The following is a 19,758-nucleotide window of genomic DNA, read 5'->3' as shown; positions in this document are numbered from 1 at the left end:
TGAAGGGTAAAAATCTTTTTTCTTTACTATTTGATTACAGTTAAGATTTTGCAAATGTACTTAATGTTTTATTAGTTTGCTTTGCAAGGTAATTCAGTTTAATTCATATATTAGAATATTCTTATATGTATAGTTAAGAATTATACATACAAATGTAAAAGCACGCATCATGCCTAAGTTATTTTGTTGCAAAAGTTTACAAATTACTGATCTATTATTAATCCCACATTCTTTTTTGTGGAATGAGCAGCACTTGAAAAATTATATAATTGTTCTTTTATATGATTACTTATCACTCTCAGAAATCAAAATTAAATTATTCTAAAGAGAAATACACATGTAGTCATTATTTTATTCAACTTGCAAATGCAGTGGGTGTATCTTTAATTAGCATCCTTTAAGACAAATAATAAATTATTGTATTAAAATCTTACTAGCCAAACAATTAAAAAGATCATAAGCTATTTGAACTGGTAAGACCGACAACCTTAGACCCATTCACCCCATGCTAAGGAAACCTTCCCAGAAAATGCATTTGCAGAAAGAGATGAGGCAAAGGAAAGTAATGGAGATAAAAGCTGAGTAATTTTAATCACTGGGTACATTATTAATTGTATGAGGATTTTGCAAAATGTGTTATTGAAAATTTAATGGCAATCTTAGTTGCTGCTTTGCCGTAATATAAAAAGGAAGCATATTCCAATTAATCAGTAAAGCCGTGAAGAGAAAGGAAAATAAGAGAAAGTGTTGAGGAGGAGTCTATTCTTGGCTCTGCAAAACTAGCATCAGAAGAGAGTTTGGGTAATGGAGCATCCAAACTGTATTCATGCGTATTAAAGAAAGCCCTACAGTCAGACTCACTAAGGAGAAAGAACAGGAGAAAAGAGGACAGTGTCCAAGGACAAGATTCTCTCATGCAAAGAGTGTTGACTTGGAGTCTACCAACCTGTTCTTGTAAGGCTGGTTCCATCCAGCCTAAAACCAGCTTTATCTGCTGCTGCCACCAGTGCTTGTGCAAAACTGCCGCTGGCAAAGATAGAGCCATCTGAGGAGCTACCTACACTAGATCTATGACTAGAAAAGTTACGATCCTCATCAGATGCAGAGCCCCATCCATTTACCATTGAACCTAAAAACAAATGTAGTTGTCTAGTGAGTTGTATATATTGAAAATCTCATCTGCTTGTACACACTATACTAATGAGCAAGTAAGTTGTCCATGCTTCTTCCTTGAAGTTTCATCATGATTTCTTTAGCCAAATGCAAGTATCATGTACATTTTAAACATTTTTTGTGCAGAAGAATGAAGCTCATTTGAAACCTGTATCTGTTTGCAGCACATAAGCAAAGCATGTGCTGCACTGTTCAACTCTTACATTGTTTAAATTATTACACAATCGTTTTCCAAAAGAGAGCTGCGATGTGTATTTTAAGTTACTATAATTCAGAAATTAACACTTTTAGTAAAACAAACTTAGTGTACTTAAACTTATCAAAGACTCAGTTGAAGAAATAGTGTGAATATATTTTGAATTTAACGCAGACTCCAATGATAATCTGCATAGAAACTACACTGTATATCATAAAAGGGCAAAAATTATTTCAAGATTTTAAAATTTAAACTTAATTACAAATAACAACAAAAATTCACAAACAAAAAATGTATAAACAATATCAAAGCAAATGAACTTAGAACATAAGAAAAAATGTATTTTAAAGAAGTTCTATTAATTTAAATGCTCTTTCTGCTTACTTTGCCTTTTAAGTTATTTAAGAACTCCAGTTTTCTCTTTAATACTGATATTTATATTAAAAAGTAACACTTATAAGGACTATCATCAGCATTAATATGAATTTTTTCTGCAAAATGCAACATGAGAATAGAGGAAAATAATTTTAATTTTACGTTTAAAGAGCTGTAAGTTGTGAGGATACTCAGAAACATTTTTTCTTAATTTTCTAGCAAGTCATTTACAATTTTATATGTTTTCTTAGACAAAAACAGACTGAGAACATAACCTCCTACTTAATAAAATTAATATTACAAGATTTATGTTGGTATACCATTAATTCATGACACAAAAAACTACCAAGTATTGCTTATCCTAAATTTGTTAGAAGAGGGGCAAAAAATATTTGTAAGAAACTAATTTAAGATTTCTAAATAAACCAAATACATATTTACATAAAAGAGATGAAAGTCAAATGCTATAGACCATTTAATTTTTTTCTGTAATATTTAAGCAACAACAGAATAGTTAGGAGTGTTGCCTTGATGCTGTATTTGTAATTTTAGTCAAGAGGCCAGGATACAATGACACGGATTCATGCACTTTCAATACAGAGAAAACAGAAGCTGAACTGGTTAGAATGATCGGAGAAGTTAAAAGGGTGTTAAGTGTAGCAAAGAAAGATAGAGTTTTGATTCTGGTTGCCAAAAGCACAGAGATACACTTTTTACTTTTCAAACAAATTCCCTTGACACAGGCCACTGCAAGGAAGCCGAGATAACACCAGAAACTGAGCCTCTTCTGAGAGAATCATTTCTGGGTTAATAACCACAAGTCAAGGACCAACGATCCAAAATGAAAGAAGAAATAATGCAGTAGGCTTTGCAATATAATGCTATACTAGATAAGAAAAAAATCAAAGAAATTCAGTGAGGGGGTCACAAAAGAATATGAAACTCTGGAACGGAGGATAGTTTAAAAACATTTGAAAGTTCACTCCCAGTCCCTTCCCTGTGCTGTTTTCTGTATTTCTAAATGCCTGCTCTTGTATTTCTAAATACCTGCTCTTACTTTCCAAATAAGCATCTCTTTAATCTTCATCTTGTTTTACTCCTAAACCCCTCCTACCTGATTTCCCTCTAGTCTCTTCTATCTTCCTCATTGCTTTCTACATTATTTTTGTGAAGCACTTACATACATGTGTTCCTCTGTTTAAAGCCTTACCCAGCTAGCCAATGCCATATCTAAACTTCTAATTAAATATTTGCAACCCTTCCATATCTAGGCTAGCCTACTGATATGATTTGGCTCTGCATCCCCACCCAAATTTCATCTCGAATTGTAATCCCCATGTGTCAAGGGGGGGACTTTGTGGGGGGTGATTGGATCATGGGGGCGGTTTCCCTCATGCTGTTCTCATGATAGTGAGGGAGTTCTCATGAGAACTGGTTGTTCGATAAATCTCTGGCATTTCCCCTGCTCTCTCTCTCCTGCTACCTTGTAAGACATGCCCCTTTGTCTTCTGCCATGATTGTAAGTTTCCTGAGGCCTCTCCAGCCGTGTGGAACTGTGAGTCAGTTAAACCTCTTTTGTTTGTAGATTACCCAGTCTCCGGTAATATCTTTACAGTAGTGTGAAAACAGACTAATATACCTGCTGTGTATTAGTCCTCATTCACTCTTACAGCCTGTGTGTCTCCTTGCTCATTTATGTAACATCATCCTTCATTCTTTAGACAGAGATATTGCCACTAACACTATTAACCACTGACAAACTTTAAAGTCTAAATTAAATGCCATTTCTGTTATCACCATGATTCTGTCCTATTACAGCGAGAATCAATCTCTCTACCTCCTTTGGTTTCCAAACACTACACATAAACTCGCATATCAGTTCTCTCTATATATTATGGTCTACTGCACATGTGTTTCCTCTCCTAGACAATGGAATTCTGGAGATTAGGAACTATTTCATGTTTATTTTCATATTTATTGTCCAGTGACATTGTACATTAGAAATTCAATAAACAGTAGGCATATGGAATTAAATGCATTCAACGTTTTCATTATTCTATAATTCTGTGTATGACATTATTTGATGTGTAATTTCTTAGCAATGTCCTTATTTTAACTATAGAAAGAATTTTCTTATAAGAACTCTTAGAAAGTTTATTAAATAAGGAATATGATGACACTATATAAATAGTATACATATATGTGATATATATGCATGTGTATTGGTTATGCTTTGATATACTTGAATATTGATATTTAGCAATATCTTATTCAAATTAAGATAAAAAATTTACATTAAGTGGCAGCTAAGTTTCTTTGGAGTGTAACTTTTCCATCCTCATTTATCCATCTTAATGCACTTGGCCCAGTGATTTGTTTTCTAAAATTTTTCTTTTTCCACTATAACCAGCCTAAAAATAGTTGAGTTTCTTTCGTTTCCTGTCTATGTCTGCTTGCTGTGTAATTCCAGCCTGAGGATCTAGCATAGTGACACATTTAGTCTCTGAACCTATAAAACTGACTGTGGTGTAGCTATTGACAGGTGAAACCAGTAAATCCTACACCACGGTAGCATCACTAAAGAAATGATATCCTGTGAGACCTCCTAGCAGAGAATCAGCCTAACTTTCCGCCTCAGATAACCCTGTTTATCTCCCTGTGGTAACTTGACAGTTCTTCATCCGAGCATTTCCACACACACACTTGTGATACTCTAAACAAATGGACTACTTCCAGCCTTTGTGTCTTTGCTCTGCCTTTCTCCCAGCCTTTAATGCTCCTTGTATGTCCTTAAAACTCCCAATTATTCATGAAGTTTTCCCTGCTGCTTTTTGTCTCCCTCTGGGAAGAGAGAGTCACATGGAAGCCAGGGCTTCAAGTGAGTATTGGTAAATACAGAAAGAACGTCAGCTATTCTTTCTTTTGTACTTCTTGTAAGAGCAAAGAGACTAGATAGATGACTTCAGAATTAAAGATATGTGACCACAGATACTTGGCCATATTGGGCAACAGGAAATCTCATGACCCAATCTGAAGAGAGGGAAGTGTCTCACGTTAGTGTAGTTGTGTTTGCCTTCAAAACGGAGGGCAAGGAACATAGAAAGAAATTTTCTCTCTCCTTCTCTTTGTCTCTCTGCCTCTCTGTCTGGGATTTTCGACATCCCTTCCTCTACAGTTTGGTTAAGATGTATGGAATGGGCATATTTATGGTAAATATTTTTAAAAGACATTTGGCCACATTCCATGAATCAAATAGTATATAAGATGTTAGAATTCCTTCTGTAAAATGGCTAAAATGTATTGAACATCTACTGATTTTACGTCTAGTGGCCTTTCTGAAAAAAGGAAAAATGTTGAGATTTAAACAAGAGCAATGAGCTGAAGATTTAGGTAAACAATTACCCCCCCCCCACAAAAAGAGAGAGAGAGAAGAAAAGATAATGAATGAATGAAAATAAAAACATTAATCTACAAATTTAAAAGTAAGTCACTTTTGTGATAACTGATTTTCTTTCACAAACATAAGTATAAACACGAAAATTAAAATGAACACCAGGTAAAACCAATTCGGCTAGAGGCTTCTTACAAATTAATAAGCACTCCATACCAATTTGACATGTTTCAGCCCCAAACATAATCAATACATATTTAAACATTTAATGAACAATGAATTTATGTTAGATAGCCAAATTTATTTGTGTTTACATTTTCAATCTTTCCAAATTTCCCTGATTTAAATTGCAGAAAAGGCAAAAAAAAATCTCAAATGTATTCAAGCTGTTAAAGTAGTACTGCACATAGGACATTAAGTTGTTGCTCAGATGTTACTGAGCAGTAAAATATCATGATAAAGTGGCATCTTGCTGTGTCTCTATTACATCTTCAGCACTAAAATTAATTTATGATCAGTCATCAATTCATTTACATGTCATTTTATGCTAAATCTTTCCTTGCTGATAAATGCTTATCCTTAGATCCATTAAGCTAAAGTCTGTGCTTTATAAGATGACCCTGCTAATTGTTGCATTACCATTTTTATGAGATACAAAAACTAGCCATTCTCCATTTTTTCAACCAATATTTAATCTATGAACTTTTCCTATTAAATGTTATTTGTCTACCTATTAAGTAAAAGCTGCAGCTACAAATGTCTTTAGACAAATTAATCCAAATATTGACCTTTGCCTACACGTAGAAAAACATGTCAAATCTACAGAACTTCTTCTTTCACTCAAACATATTGAATGTGCAACAATTCCACCTGCGTGCCTCAGAGAGAAAGGGATGTGTAATCATCTGTAATCCCAGCACTCTGGGAGGCTAAAATGGGCAGATCACCTGAGGTCACGAGTTTGAGAACAGCTTGGCCAACATGGTGAAACCCCGTATCTACTAAAAATACAAAAAAAAAAATAGCTTAGCGTGGTGGCCCGAGCCTGCAATCCCAGCTACTCAGGAGGCTGAGGCAGGAGAATCTCTTGAATCTGGGAGGCGGAGGTTGCAGTGAACAGAGATAGTGCCACTGCACACCAACCTGGGTGACAGAGCGAGACAACATCTCAGAAAAAAAAAGAAAGAAAGAAAAGGAATGTGTAATATATATGGAAAGCAAAATAAGCAATTAAAAATATCTTCATTAGGACATACGATGCTTGATACCTTGTTTCACTCAGATAAAAATTACACGTGTAATATCCCACTTCCCCTTTTTATCTGTTCAATTTTGAAATACACATTTAATTGTTCTTTAAAGGCATCAAACCTGTAAAAGTAGTCTAAGAAATTAATTTGATTACTGTAGCATTATCCCTGAACTTTTCCCTAATACTAAACTTATTTTCCTTTAAGTTTTGTAGAAAAGCAAAGTTTCAGGTCAAATATTTTAGTGGCCGAGGCTCTAAAAGCTGTGTGGTCGAGTCAGATGGTGAGGCCACCAGGTTTCATTGTTTCCATACTGATCTGTTGTGGGAGTTCCACAACAAACCTCCAAAAACGTAACACAAAATATAGAGCCATGATTTCCTTTCAGCTGTGATATTCATGTGGGGTCCAGCAGTCAAGGAAACTTTTTACTTGTTTCACTGAACAGCACACAATCTCAGTCTTCCTTTTTGTGATCACTGAGGCAGTTAGAATCTTTGCTACACGTTGAGGGCATTTTCCCCCTGCACTCTCTCCTACTGCCTTCTGTTTCTTTTTTCCTGGTGGTGTCATGAAATTTGGGAAACAATTACCATTGACTCCTGCCATGGAAATTACAGAAAGAAGTATTGTAGCCCTCTCCCTCCCCGTTACCCAACGGTTTGGCATTTAGGAAGAAATTACAGGCTTATTCCTGAAGACAGAAACAAGCCTTTATGTTTACTTTCTAGCCCAAACAGAGTGCAATGAGCTGCAATAAATAAATATGTTGTATTTTATTACAATCAAATAGGTGTGCATTATGAGCATAGATTACAATGAAAATTATTAAAATGAGGTTCATTGCAAAAAGTGCTGATACAGTTGAATTTTGTTAGCATGGGTCACTTTAAATAAACATAGAACTGAATGTGAAAAAAATGAATCACAAAAGTCACATCTAAAATTAATATCTTGATCTTGATTAAATGCATAAGGAAAAAGGACTAATGTTTCGAGAGAGAAAATTATATGTTGTGCTTGTATACATATTTATTCATGTGTGTTTATATACACACACACTCAGTTCCACATATGAAGCAACAAACCAGCATATTATTTTCCTCTTAAATATACCTATTCCTCAGATTAGAAGAAAGTTGTGTGTTTCCAGAGCAGGGATCATGATAATTTGTCTTTAGAGTAAGACTGATTGATTTTGAACATTCTTCTTCCATTTATCAGGTGGGTAACCTGGACAAAGGCTTTAAAACCCTCTGTTTTTAATCTATTAAATGAAAATAATACTATTAATAGGGTTGTGAGGATCAAATGAATTAATATACATTAAAACTTTATAATAGGGATCAGCAAACTTTTTTCTGTAAAATGACAGATAGTAAATATTTTAGGCTTTGCTGTCTCTGTCATACATTCTTCTTAGTTTTTGTTTGTTAGTTAGTTTCTTGTTTTCCTACAACCCTTTCAAAAATGTGAAAAACCATTCTTAGCTAATGAGACCACACAAAATACAGGCTACTGCTTAGAAAGATGCCTTGCATGGGCCGGCCGCAGTGGCTCACGCCTGTAATCCCAGCACTTTGGGAGGCCGAGGCAGATGGATCACGAGGTCAAGAGATCAAGACCCTCTTGGTCAACATGGTGAAACCCCGTCTCTACTAAAAATACAAAAATCAGCTGGGCATGGTGGTGGGCGTCTGTAGTCCCAGTTACTCAGGAGGCTGAGGCACGAGAATCGCTTGAACCCGAGAGGGATAGGTTGCAGTGAGCCGAGATCGTGCCACTGCACTCCAGCCTGGCGATAGAGTGAGACTCCGACAAAAAAAAAAAAGAAGAAAGAAAGAAAGATGGCTTGCACTTCGTAAAGGTTGTATATGTGTTACCTATTATTATTATTATTACTGAATCTAAATTTTTAGCCAAGTGATTAGAAGTAATAGGCATTCGATAGGTGTTTGTTGTAGGAAGAAAGAAATATTAACAGCAGACCTGCAAATATACATATTATCCAGTACTGAGATTATGGGATATGGAACTGCTGATATTTTCTTCTTTTTTTTAGCCTTTTCCACTCATAGAACATCATTTCAAAATTTAAGAGATCCCTCACAAATTAGTTGTTATAAAAACAACTAATTGTAGTTAACATGCTTATTTCTTTACAAAAAAATGGGCTCTGTCCCTGGATAACTGCTGATATATTCCCTAATGTGGCAGCTGTGAAGTGCAATATATCCAAGTAAAATCCTGCATAATTTTACATACAGGCTTACCAGCCCATCCCAGTGTTGTTATTGAACTAATATTCTGATTGGCTTCAGAGTTGCAGGGACTGGAACCCAATATTCTGATTGGTTTCAGGGTTTCAGGGACTGTGTAACCCATGCTGCCTCCTGTAACTGTTAGATCTCTTTAATAAAATGGTCATTAGTTTCATGAAAGTGAAAATAACTAACAGCATTTCAGGGGGAGGTAATGACTAATTTATTCACACCACAAATATATTTAGAACCCAAAGTAACTGGTGGTATGATCCGCATCCACTGTATGGGCACTTACCATGTTAAAAACATAAAAAGCTCATAGAAATAATGCCTGTTTTATTGTCCACCTCATTCAGCGCCATTAAACTAGCATTAAGTGTCTGAGGAAAACATAAGCATGTTAGAACAACATTCATTGGCATGCTGATTTCTCTAATATTCAGTCTCTATATACATCTACCTCAGGGCTATTCTCATACATGTCTGCATGCATGCATGCACACACACTATATCACACTTACAACCTTATCTACACTCTCACACATTTATACACGTACTCACTCCCTACACAAGCACCCACACCCACGTTCTAATACACTCACACATCTAACACATACTCTCTCACACACACACTTATAAGCACTTACTCACATACCATAGAAAGCAAATTAAATCTTTGATCACACCTTCTCCACAAAGTTATTGTGGAAGAGAAAGGAAAAAAAAAGTGAGTTTGTATTTGGCTACTTTTGTGTAGAACACAACTTCTTTTACTAAAGAGATGTATTATTCATAGGATAAACTCATCATGGAATACAAACTTAAACACCCTGAGGTTTTTATATATGGCAGTAATTAAGCAGTGAATTCAAGGAGAAAACCAGACTTTTTTTCTCAGCAATAAAAGCTTCATTTGGAATGAACATTACACTAGCTACAGGAGAAATACAGACTGCTTGAGCTGCAGTCACATCAGGCAGCCTAACATGTCACAGGTGAGCATGTAAAAGTGCAAAATGGCATTCTCTTGATTTATAGACGTATTTATCATCTTTGACATTATAATATTTAATAAAAGAACTACACAGACTATAGCTGACTGTTTTTCATCATTATTGCAATTTGTTACTGCATTCCTAATGGAAAAGAGTTCAGTATCATTAGTGAAATATGCAAAAATATGCAGAATTTTACCCTGAAGGAGATTATGCTGGAAATTCAGGCAAAGGGGCTTAACATAATAGTGCACTAATAAGTCAGCTCTCTGCATTTGAAGATTTTAACTTGTGCTCTGTCACCTTCGGTTGGATCTGGATTTCAAATCACAGCGGTGTATCTGCAGCTCTTAAATCTTAATTAGGCTGGCAAGCAGACCAGCCCCTGGATAAGAAGAAAAACTGAAAAATGGGCTCATGCATCACACATTGAGTAATTCAGGGAGGAATACAGAGGAAAATCATAGGCGCTGATGCTGCTTTATCCTGTCATAAACCAGTTCCCATCAGTGTTTGTAGAACTCTAACACATTGTGTAAAATCTGTGAAAGTTTGGAAGCTGTTGGCATAAAAATGAATTAAGCGGGATTGTGGTAAAATATCTCCTAGGATGAAAGATGTCATCACGGTAAATACAGATATGAGTGGTCTTCTGAGAAGACCCAGTGAAATGCAGAGACCAGACTTCAGTTTGTAGTAGCTCGGTCTACACAGTCATGTAAGAGGCATTTTCTTGTGTGTCCAACAGTGTATATCTATTTGAATAGAAAGACTGAATTTTTAGTTTTCTCCAAATTCATTGTGTCCATTTTAGGATTTAAAGTTTTCTTTAAAAAAATTGGTACATTTAAATCCCTGAAAATAGGTTATACCTTAGTCCTGGGATCATCATAGAAGAGTACCAATGCAACTCTTTCGTTTGATGAACAAGGCAAGAGGAAGCCAAAGAAATAAACAGAAAAAATAACTGCATTTCTTGGAAGAGAAGCATTTACTAGATGCAGCAATGTGAAATGCATAAACATATGGTTTATCTCACTACACATTTTCTTCATTCTAAAAATAATACCTTGTGCAACCTTAAAGTGGCTTATTCAGGAGACGTGCTTACTTTCCATCAGTGAATGATTTTACAGAGTGAAATATCAAGAAGCATTTTAAGATTGCATTCACTTCATATGTTATTCCTGATATATATAAAAAAGATCATTTCTAAAAGTCAAGGTTTTTAATGTAATAGACTTGGTTTCCTAGTAGAGTGAACTTCTCATGAAAGCCCTAGATATAATTGAGTTTTCTTTCATGTCTTTAAAGCTTTTTAAAATTCATGAATTTTCTTATCATTTTTGCAGCAAAGCAAAAGTATTTCCAAATCCTTTTTGAATTTTGTATTTAATATTAACACATTTAAAATGTTACAGAAATAGATGGAGTGGAATAAATCTTACAATAAGGAAGTAGTTGACTTTTGATGCATTTTAATGTTACCAATAGGTCAGTTTTTCCTATTAAATTGGTTCCGTTACCTGTCACAGAGCTGTCTAGATTGTCCATGCTGGATCCAGGAGTCTGGTCCAGTGCTCTCAGGGGCCTGGGGATTTCTAAAGCTTCCTCTTCGTCGTCGGCATCATCATCTGCAACATCCGTTTCCAAATCAGAAATCAAGGCTCCAGACACATAACCTAACGGTGGAACTGGAGGCTGTGGAGGTTGATTATTGCTTTGAATGTGCCTAGAATTCAAATGAAATTTAAAAAAGAAAAGCAACTTATTAACATGCAACAAAATCATAATTTTAATTAAATGCATGCTATAGTAACTCATACTGTCTTCTTCCTTTCCATTAACTAATTTAGGAGTTCATAATGCTTTCAGCAGAAACAATGGCTACGAATACGAGCCTCACCAAACAAGGAAAACATAAACCATTAAACTCTTCACTTGGTATTTATAGGATAACACACGGAGAAAAAAAAATACGGGCCCAGTATTTTTGTGAAAAGAAGTTATCTAGAGGGGACTAGGAATATTCGCCACGAGTAACTATTTAAAGTGAATATTTTTCTCCAAAAATATTATACTTTTGTTCTCAGTTTAGTGTCAAAATTCTACTCAGTCTGTGTAACCCATGCTGCCTGCTGGCCCTTATGAAGAAAAGATGTCACATGAGGACCTAATATCCCCTACCTCCCAACCCTGAACACATTTCCCACCCTAGAAGGCTTCCTCCCCACACGATCTCTCTCACATCAAGGCTGGAAGGCTATTTCCACTTTCACTATAACCCAGTTTAGGGTAGGCACAACTAATTTGTGCTCTAGTAGCTATTTATGTATCTGTCTCACCCAACAAAGTCTTAAACTCCTCAAAGGCATAAACAATTCATCTAAGGATTCTCTGTGTTTGGAACACTAGTGTGTTAAATAAACCTTTTGCAATGAATAAATAATTCTAATCTCAACCTTATGAAATAAATAGATCATGCATTATCAACCCTCATTTATTTATTTATTTATTTATTTAATTTTTTGGAGAGAAGGGGTCTTGTTCTGCCACCCAGGATGGAGTGCAGTGATGCGATCATGGCTCACTACAGCCCTGACTTCCCAGGCGTAAGCGATCCTCCTGCCTTGGTCTCCCAAGTAGCTGGCATTACAGGTGTGCTTCACCATGCCCAATTAGTTTTTAAATGTTTTGTAGAGTGGGATTCTCACTATGTTGTCTAGGTTGGTCTGAAACTCCTGGGCTTAAGCAAGCGTCCTGCCTCAGCAACCCAAAGTGCTGGGATTACAGGCATGAGCTATCATGCTTGGCCCAACCTTCTTTAGAATTTATTAAAGTGAAGGTCAAATTTAAGTGACTTGTTTCAAATCAGGTAGCTAACAAAGTGTGAAGCTGGGCAGTAGGGTCCAGTTGATTTGCTTTGAGTCTACTCAGATTTTCTTCTAAACCATAAAATGCTAAATGAAATGAATTTATTGTTATTTGTTACCAGCATTAAAAAGTGAGTGTACTACATGTTTTAACATAGTAAGTATTTTCTTTGCCTTCATATAAAAGGTATTTAAAAGGCTGTGCTATTTAGGTGAGATCTTAAAAAGTACTATGCATTTTTATTGTTGGCTGGTGAATGAAAGACATTAGATTACTTTTCTTTGTCATTTGCATGATTTGGGGAAAATATTTTAATCTTCCCGAATTTGTTTAATATTCCTCTCCCAACTGGCTTCTTGAACTTGTAACCAACCTCAATGTTAACAGGATTCTAGATGTTTCAATGTTAAAAAAATTTCTAATTCTGGAAGCTACCTCAATATCATCAGATCCCAATCTTCAATCTTTAACAGATTAGAAAGTTCAGGCCCCAAGTTAGTATTCAGCATTCCTCACAGCCTGCTAGTTGAAAAATAGGAAGAAATAGCAAGTTTCCTAAGTATTAGTACAGAAAAGCTTGAGGATAGATGAGCACATCTTGCTATAAATGTTGCCATCAATATGCTTATGAATTGATACCTCTTGATAAAACAAATATACCTTGATGGAATAAAAAATGTACTCCTATTTAAGCAAAATTAAGAGGTAAATTGAAATACAGGAAGAGGACACATAACATTTATAAATATCTTCTAGTGACAGGCACTGTGCTGTTTACTTCACGAATCAATAGAAACAGATCCTGGGAGGTGGAGCCTGGGAATTATTATTTGTTAAACAGTCCTATGATGTTGATGTGCTACCCAGATGGTGAGTCACTTCCAAACCAGAAGCACATGCAAGCTCATAACTCCCAGATGTGGAGTCAGCCAAGGCATTCTGAAAGATTGCTGGTTGAGTAGGAACACACTCAGAAGAAGAAACAGGGTGTCCTCTATGGGTATTTGCAGCAGGTGGAGATGAACTAATTTGTTCATTCTTTTACCAAATATCTATCAAGCATTTACTAAGTGGGACACTCTTCTAAGTGTGGGAAGACAGAAGTGAACAACTCAGGGGTGAAAACCTAGGCCTTTCTAACTAATAACAGCTAATATACAGCCAGGGACAGTAGTATATAAGTTCATACTCATTTCATTCTCACAAAAACTAGGATATGTAACAAAGAATTGAACCTCGACCCAAGAGAGGTTAGGCCTTTGCCCTCTACTCCTGGGAGGTAATCTGTAAGCCCTTAGAATGTCCTGTGGATAAAAGTCTCTCTGCTTACCTAGAGGCCTTAGGCTACTCCAAAAAGCATCGCAATATGATTATGGGGGGGCTTGGAGTTGCATGGTGTCACCTCAGCCTCTGGAGGGGCTGGAAATTGAGGTCAGCCATATGGGTAGTCAACAATGTCTGTGTGACAGAGCCAAAATGAAGTCGCAGGACCTCAAGGAAGGTGTGCCCATCCCTGGCTGGCAATTCTCCATGGTGTGTAATGTCACACCCTTTGTTGGGAAAGTAACGCTATGATTCCACTGAGAGGACAACTGGAAGCTCTACTTTTGGAATTTTCCTGGACCTTGTCCCATGCATTTCTTCTTTTGGCTGATTTTAATGCGTATCTTTTCACTGTAATAGACTGTAGCTTTGAGTGTAAAATCTTTTGGTGAGTTCTATGACTTACTATAGAGAATTCTGAAACTTCAGGGTGGTCTTGGGGACCCTTGAAACTTGTACTTGGTATCAGAAATATAGGTTGTCTTGGGGACTGCCCTCTAATTTCCTATATGAGCTAATTACTATTATCATCACCATCATTTTACACATGGGGAAACTATAGCATATAAATGTTGAGCAAGTTGCCCAAAGTCATGCAGCTAGTAAGACAGGTTCATCTCCACGGCAGTGGTCCCAACCTTGGCTGTCCCATGATCTGGATCAAATTCCAGATCATGGCAGTCAGAATCTTTCTCTGGGAGTGGAGCCCAGGTACCAATATATTTTAAGGTTATCCAAATGGTTCTAAAATGTGGCAAATTTGAGAACCCTTCAGCTTGAGTCTGTGCTTTAGATGACCAAACTGCATTGCTTCATTAGTTAACGTGAAGGAAGCCCTGTGGCTCTTGAAGCAGCTGGCTTCAACTTACATAGTGATGTTTTATTAAAAGCAGATTGATGAAAAATAACAGCGTTTAACGGTAAGTTGTCTTTGACCTTTGAGAAAGCATCTGATGACTGTTGGAAAATGTTCAAGAATATCTTAAGAAAAGAGGCTGTTTGTAATAATCTTTAAGTAATACTCTTCCTTTTGGTATCTCTTTCTATGTATAGTTAGCTGTATTTTAATAATACATACTTCATTAATAATGAGAATAAGAATTATTTATCCCCATGACTAGAACAATTTAAAAAACAAAACAAATACTATTTAAAAAATTTACTCAGACTTCAAGCACAAAGGGTAAATCAACAGAAGAAAATTGGAGTATGACATGGAGCTTTAAAATAGTGATATAAAAGCCTGGGCTTTTGAAAATTAAAATAGAAAGATTGAATAACAAAAATCCTGTATAAAACTGTTAGCGTTAGTCCCATTTATATATCTGTGTTAATTCCACAGGATACCTAGGTAAACTGACACCTGTAGTTTACAAAAGTTTATAGATTAGAAAAAGAAATGTGAAATTTTTGATTTACTCCTGCTTTTTATGCACTTACTGATACTAGTATTGTCTTTTTTTTTCTGTTGCACTTAACTCAGGTAAAGAGAGTCTTTTAATAACTAATACTGACCATATGTGATTTGCAGAAGCTCACATTTACATATTGACAACCACATACAGAATTAATCACAGGCACTTTGAGGAATCTAAAAGGAGTCTTTTATTACATCATGGGATGTGAGTTCAATGATAAGCTAATTGAAGATAAACCATAAATTAGAAAAGATTCTGGTGTAGCCAAGAGCACTTTAGCCTGAAATACAGCAGATTTGAATTCTTGCTCTAGTTCTAGTTTTAGTTCTAGTTCTAGTTACAGTTACAGTTACAGCTCCAGTTCCAGTTCTAGTTCTAGTTCTAGTTCTAGTTTTGGCCAAATTATTTAACATTTCTCAGTGGATACATTTATCTAAATGATTAAGGAGTCATACAAAATCACTTTTAACCCTAGCTGTGTAGTTCTATCAGAATCTCTTGTGAATTTATTCTGAAAAAAATTTCCATGTGTTGAAAGCATGGGTCTCTTGACTTAATGAAGATATTTACCATGTTTGTTTTGCTATATCAAACTGATAGGCTCTTGTCAACTCATCCAGGTGAGCCTGCAGCATGGGTTGCATCTCTTCCCGTGGGGATGGAGTAAGAGTTGCAGTGGACTGCTGTCCAAAGGAGATAGCAGGAGAAGAAGCCACGCCTCGAACAGGAGGTGTTGGGACCCTATCATCATCTTCTTCCAGTTCATCTTCCAGACCTTGGTGTAAGTAAGTTTGTACTGGCAATGGTGGGCACCAGCTATCACTGTCATAGCTGAAATTAAATGAGAAAAATATGCACATTGACACAAATACATATACACATACATGCACACAATTATACTGGCAATAAGTAGCAACCACATGGTATCTGAAATGTTCTCTCGGTTTATTTCTTCCTGAAGCTGTTGGTGTCACCACAGTAAATCACCTGGCTGTTATCTTAATTTCTAATTGTAATTACATCTGTTATCTCAATATCTCAATTTATTCTTAAAAGACCTTTTTAGCTAATTGTTACCCCACAGTTACAAGAGGCAATAACTTCCCAACAAACTTACTCATGTGGAAAAACCAAATTGCTAATTAAAGACAATTAATGAATTTAGTGCTTGTAGATTTAACTGCTTCCTTCTCCTGTTCATACTTGTGCACCATTACATGCCAATATCGCTGATTGATTATCTAAGAAGTATTGGAGAATTTTACTTGTTCTTGTTCTAGATATCTGACAACCTTTCATTCCATATGTCATTAAGACTATCATATAAATGCATTCAGTATCTCTTTGATTCTCTTAATTTTCTCAGTAGAAACTAATGTCCTCTTTATCTTGTCATCCAAATGCAAATCACAAAACAGGAGTTCAAAACCTTGCCCTATAAAATAAAAATAATACTTTTATTGTAGTAAAAAACTTTAACACGAGATCTATCCTTTTAAAAAATTTTGAGTATAAAATATGACAATTATTTTAAAACCATATTTTTTTAGGGACTGTGGTCTGTGAATATAGAAAATTAATCCAAAAAGTTTTAACCATGAGACAAAATCAATAGCTTTTTTATTTCAATTCTCTGTAGTCTGAATACTTTCATAAATCAAATGGATTATAACATCCTTTTAAACACAGACAAGGAAAAGATAAATAATATTATTGGATATAGTGGTCTTATACATTCAGCCTCTTAAATACCTAGTGAATCTTTCTCCAAACTTCACCCCCACTCCCACAATCACACATCACTTTCCTGCTGTAAACAAGCTCATTAGCTTTCCTACTCTTCCGGTATCATCATCTTCTCTTCCACCCTTTGTTAAACACGTGCAACAGAATTATATCTCTAAAATCTTCATTCACATCACGCTTAAGCCTAAAATTATTCAGTGATTATAACTAGTATTAAAAAAAAACCTTTCCAACTCATTAGCTAGGTCTAAAAAACCCATCCTAGTCTGATAAACTCATCTTTCCAGCTTAATCTCGCACTATTTCCTCAACATCCATATACTATATTTTTCTCTAAAGTCTGCATCTGTTTATGACTGTTCTCAAATCACTTGCTTGTAACTGCCTACTCTTCCTTCAACCAGTCACTTCAAACGTCATCAGTTTTGTGAAGTCTTCTCTTCCCCACTCCAAATGGAATTAATTGCAATTCCATAATACTTATATTGTGGTACTCCTCATATTATATTGAGATTATTTGTTTCTGTGTTTCTTTTCTCCCACTATTTTGTGAGATTCTTAAATTCAAGAAAGCTGTCATTCTTATCTACTTCTTGCACCTCATACAGTTTCTGGTACATGGGAGATATTCATTAGGGAAACTGTGATATGAGTAAATATCAGAAATGTACATCTCTAGTCTTGATCTCTCTTACAAAGAGTAACTTATAAATGTCCGGATGATTCTTGAATATTTTCACTTGAATGCCTTTCCATTTATTTTGTTTAAAAGCTGAATTTATCATAAAACTTGAACGTGTATATTTTTATTGGTGTTATTCATACTTGCCAAAATTTGGAAGCAACCAACATGTCTCCCAGTAGGTAGATGGATAAATAAACTGCATTACATCCATGCAATGGAATATTATTCGTTGCTAAAAAGAAATGAGCTGTCAAGCCATAAAAAGACATGGCAGAAACTTGAACGCATATCACCAAGTGAAAGGTCTAAAAAAGGTACACACAATAAGATTCCAACTACTTGACACCCTGGAAAAGTCAACGCTACGGAGACAGGAAAAAGATGAGTAGTTTCCAGAGGCTAGATGAGAGGAAACCATGGACAGGCAGAGCACAGAGGAATTTTAGGACAGTGAAACCACTCTGTATTATAAAATAATGGTGGATACATGTATTACATTTGTCCAAATCCATAGACTGTGCAACACAGAGAGAACCCTAATGTAAACTATGGACTCTAGGTGATGATGATGTGTCAGTGTAGGCGCATCAATTGTAACAAATGTACCACTCTGGTGGAGAACCTTGATAGTTGGGGAGGCTATCAATATGTGGGGGCTGGGATAAATCTGTACCTTCTGCTCAATTTTGCTGTAAGCCTAAAACAGATGTAAAAATAAACTTTATTTAAAAAAAAACTCTTAATTTATTTTTTTGGACAGTTATGTGTCAGGGTCCTGAATCTATTTCACAGAGCATACAATTCAGTGGGGAAAGCTGATATTAAACAAATAATCAGTGATGCAAGATGCCATAAAAGTAGAAAGCAGGAGGTCTAAACTAGTTTTGGAGTTGGGCAGGGCTATGTTGACCACCAGTAAAAGGAACATTTTAAACAACACGTGTGGAAGCCCGGAGGAAGAGAAAGGAATTTGAAGAGTTCAAATACTTCCCTAAATGCCAAGAGCTGGCAAAGAAAGAAGAAAATTGGCCACGGAAGAGGCAAGAGAGTTAGGGATAGGCTGGTCACTGAAGGCCTTATCAGCCCCTACAAGGAGTTTGAAATTTTCCTGTGGGTGAGAGATAGTTACAGAAAGGGTTTTTGTTTGTTTGTTTGTTTGGTTGGTTGGTTGGTTGGTTGGTTGGTTGGTTTTTTGGGGGAATAATATCATCTTTGGATGTTCAATTTCCTTAGACCCCTAAATGCTTTTTCCCGAATTCCAAAGATTCTTCCTTCAAAGTTAGTTATAATTGTAACTCCTTTATTTTCATTTCCATGGCCATTTTATTCTCTTGCTGAGGCTACCTAAGTGAGTTGCAAGACCCTGTTTCAGAAGCCCTGTATGGTTTGATAGGAATATTTCCTCCTAAATATCTACTATAATATTAGACATTATAAACAACAGACACACACTAGTGTGTTACAAATAGCAATTTTTATACTAGAAAATACCATCATTTAAACTGTATTCCCATTTAATTGACTATATAATGAGTGCTAATCTGAATTTAAAGAACATATTGCTCTAAAAAATTGATGCCATTTTTATCTGTTTTATATGTTGGAGATCACAATTAAATTTCATGTGGAAAAAAGATCCTATTGCTTTAAAATATTGTAACTCACTGTCCTGGTGGGATTTTCTGCTTTCAGTTTTTCGCATCCTCTAACCAATCCTGCCCACCACTTACAAATTCATCTATGAAAATATCAGAATGGTCTGAATAAGAAGATTTACTTCTCTTTATTCCATCCATTGAATATGTCTAAGCCGCAATCTACCTTTTCAGACAGTTTTTACAACAAGAATCTCCTGCTCAAATAAATTAATTTGTTTTCATCTTTCTTTGTACTTTCTTCCCATCCTGGTGCATTTATTTATAAGAACCAACTTATTTCCAATAAGCTGTACTCCTCCAGTTTTACCTATCTTAATCTTATAAATCCATCAAGATGCAGGCTAAATCCCATATCTTGTATGAAGGTTTCCTTGATGTACATTTCTTTGAAAATTGATTATATGCAGTCT

General features: G+C 35.7%; 1 protein-coding gene across 41 annotated transcripts in view; it reads right to left on the bottom strand.

The window, feature by feature from the left end:
• ROBO2 (roundabout guidance receptor 2) overlaps positions 1–19,758 on the bottom strand; it is a 1,743,290-nt gene that overhangs the window by 16,362 nt on the left and 1,707,170 nt on the right. For 33 of the 41 annotated variants that reach the window (NM_001378191.1, NM_001378195.1, NM_001378196.1 and 30 more), the window contains 2 exons: positions 15,830–16,090; positions 11,171–11,376 (listed from right to left, as the gene is read on the bottom strand). In NM_001378191.1, the coding sequence (NP_001365120.1) occupies positions 11,171–11,376; positions 15,830–16,090 (467 nt within the window). Of the gene's footprint in view, positions 1–946; positions 1,130–11,170; positions 11,377–15,829; positions 16,091–19,758 lie in introns of all 41 variants that reach the window. The other 8 variants (XM_047448673.1, XM_011533981.3, XM_011533982.2 and 5 more) reach the window with 1 other exon arrangement.

The sequence above is a fragment of the Homo sapiens genome, chromosome 3 (genome assembly GCF_000001405.40).
Source record: "Homo sapiens chromosome 3, GRCh38.p14 Primary Assembly".
In the NCBI taxonomy this organism is placed as follows: domain Eukaryota; kingdom Metazoa; phylum Chordata; class Mammalia; order Primates; family Hominidae; genus Homo; species Homo sapiens.
The sequence above is the reverse complement of the archived record's forward strand: the minus strand, read 5'-3'. Positions and strand labels throughout refer to the sequence as shown.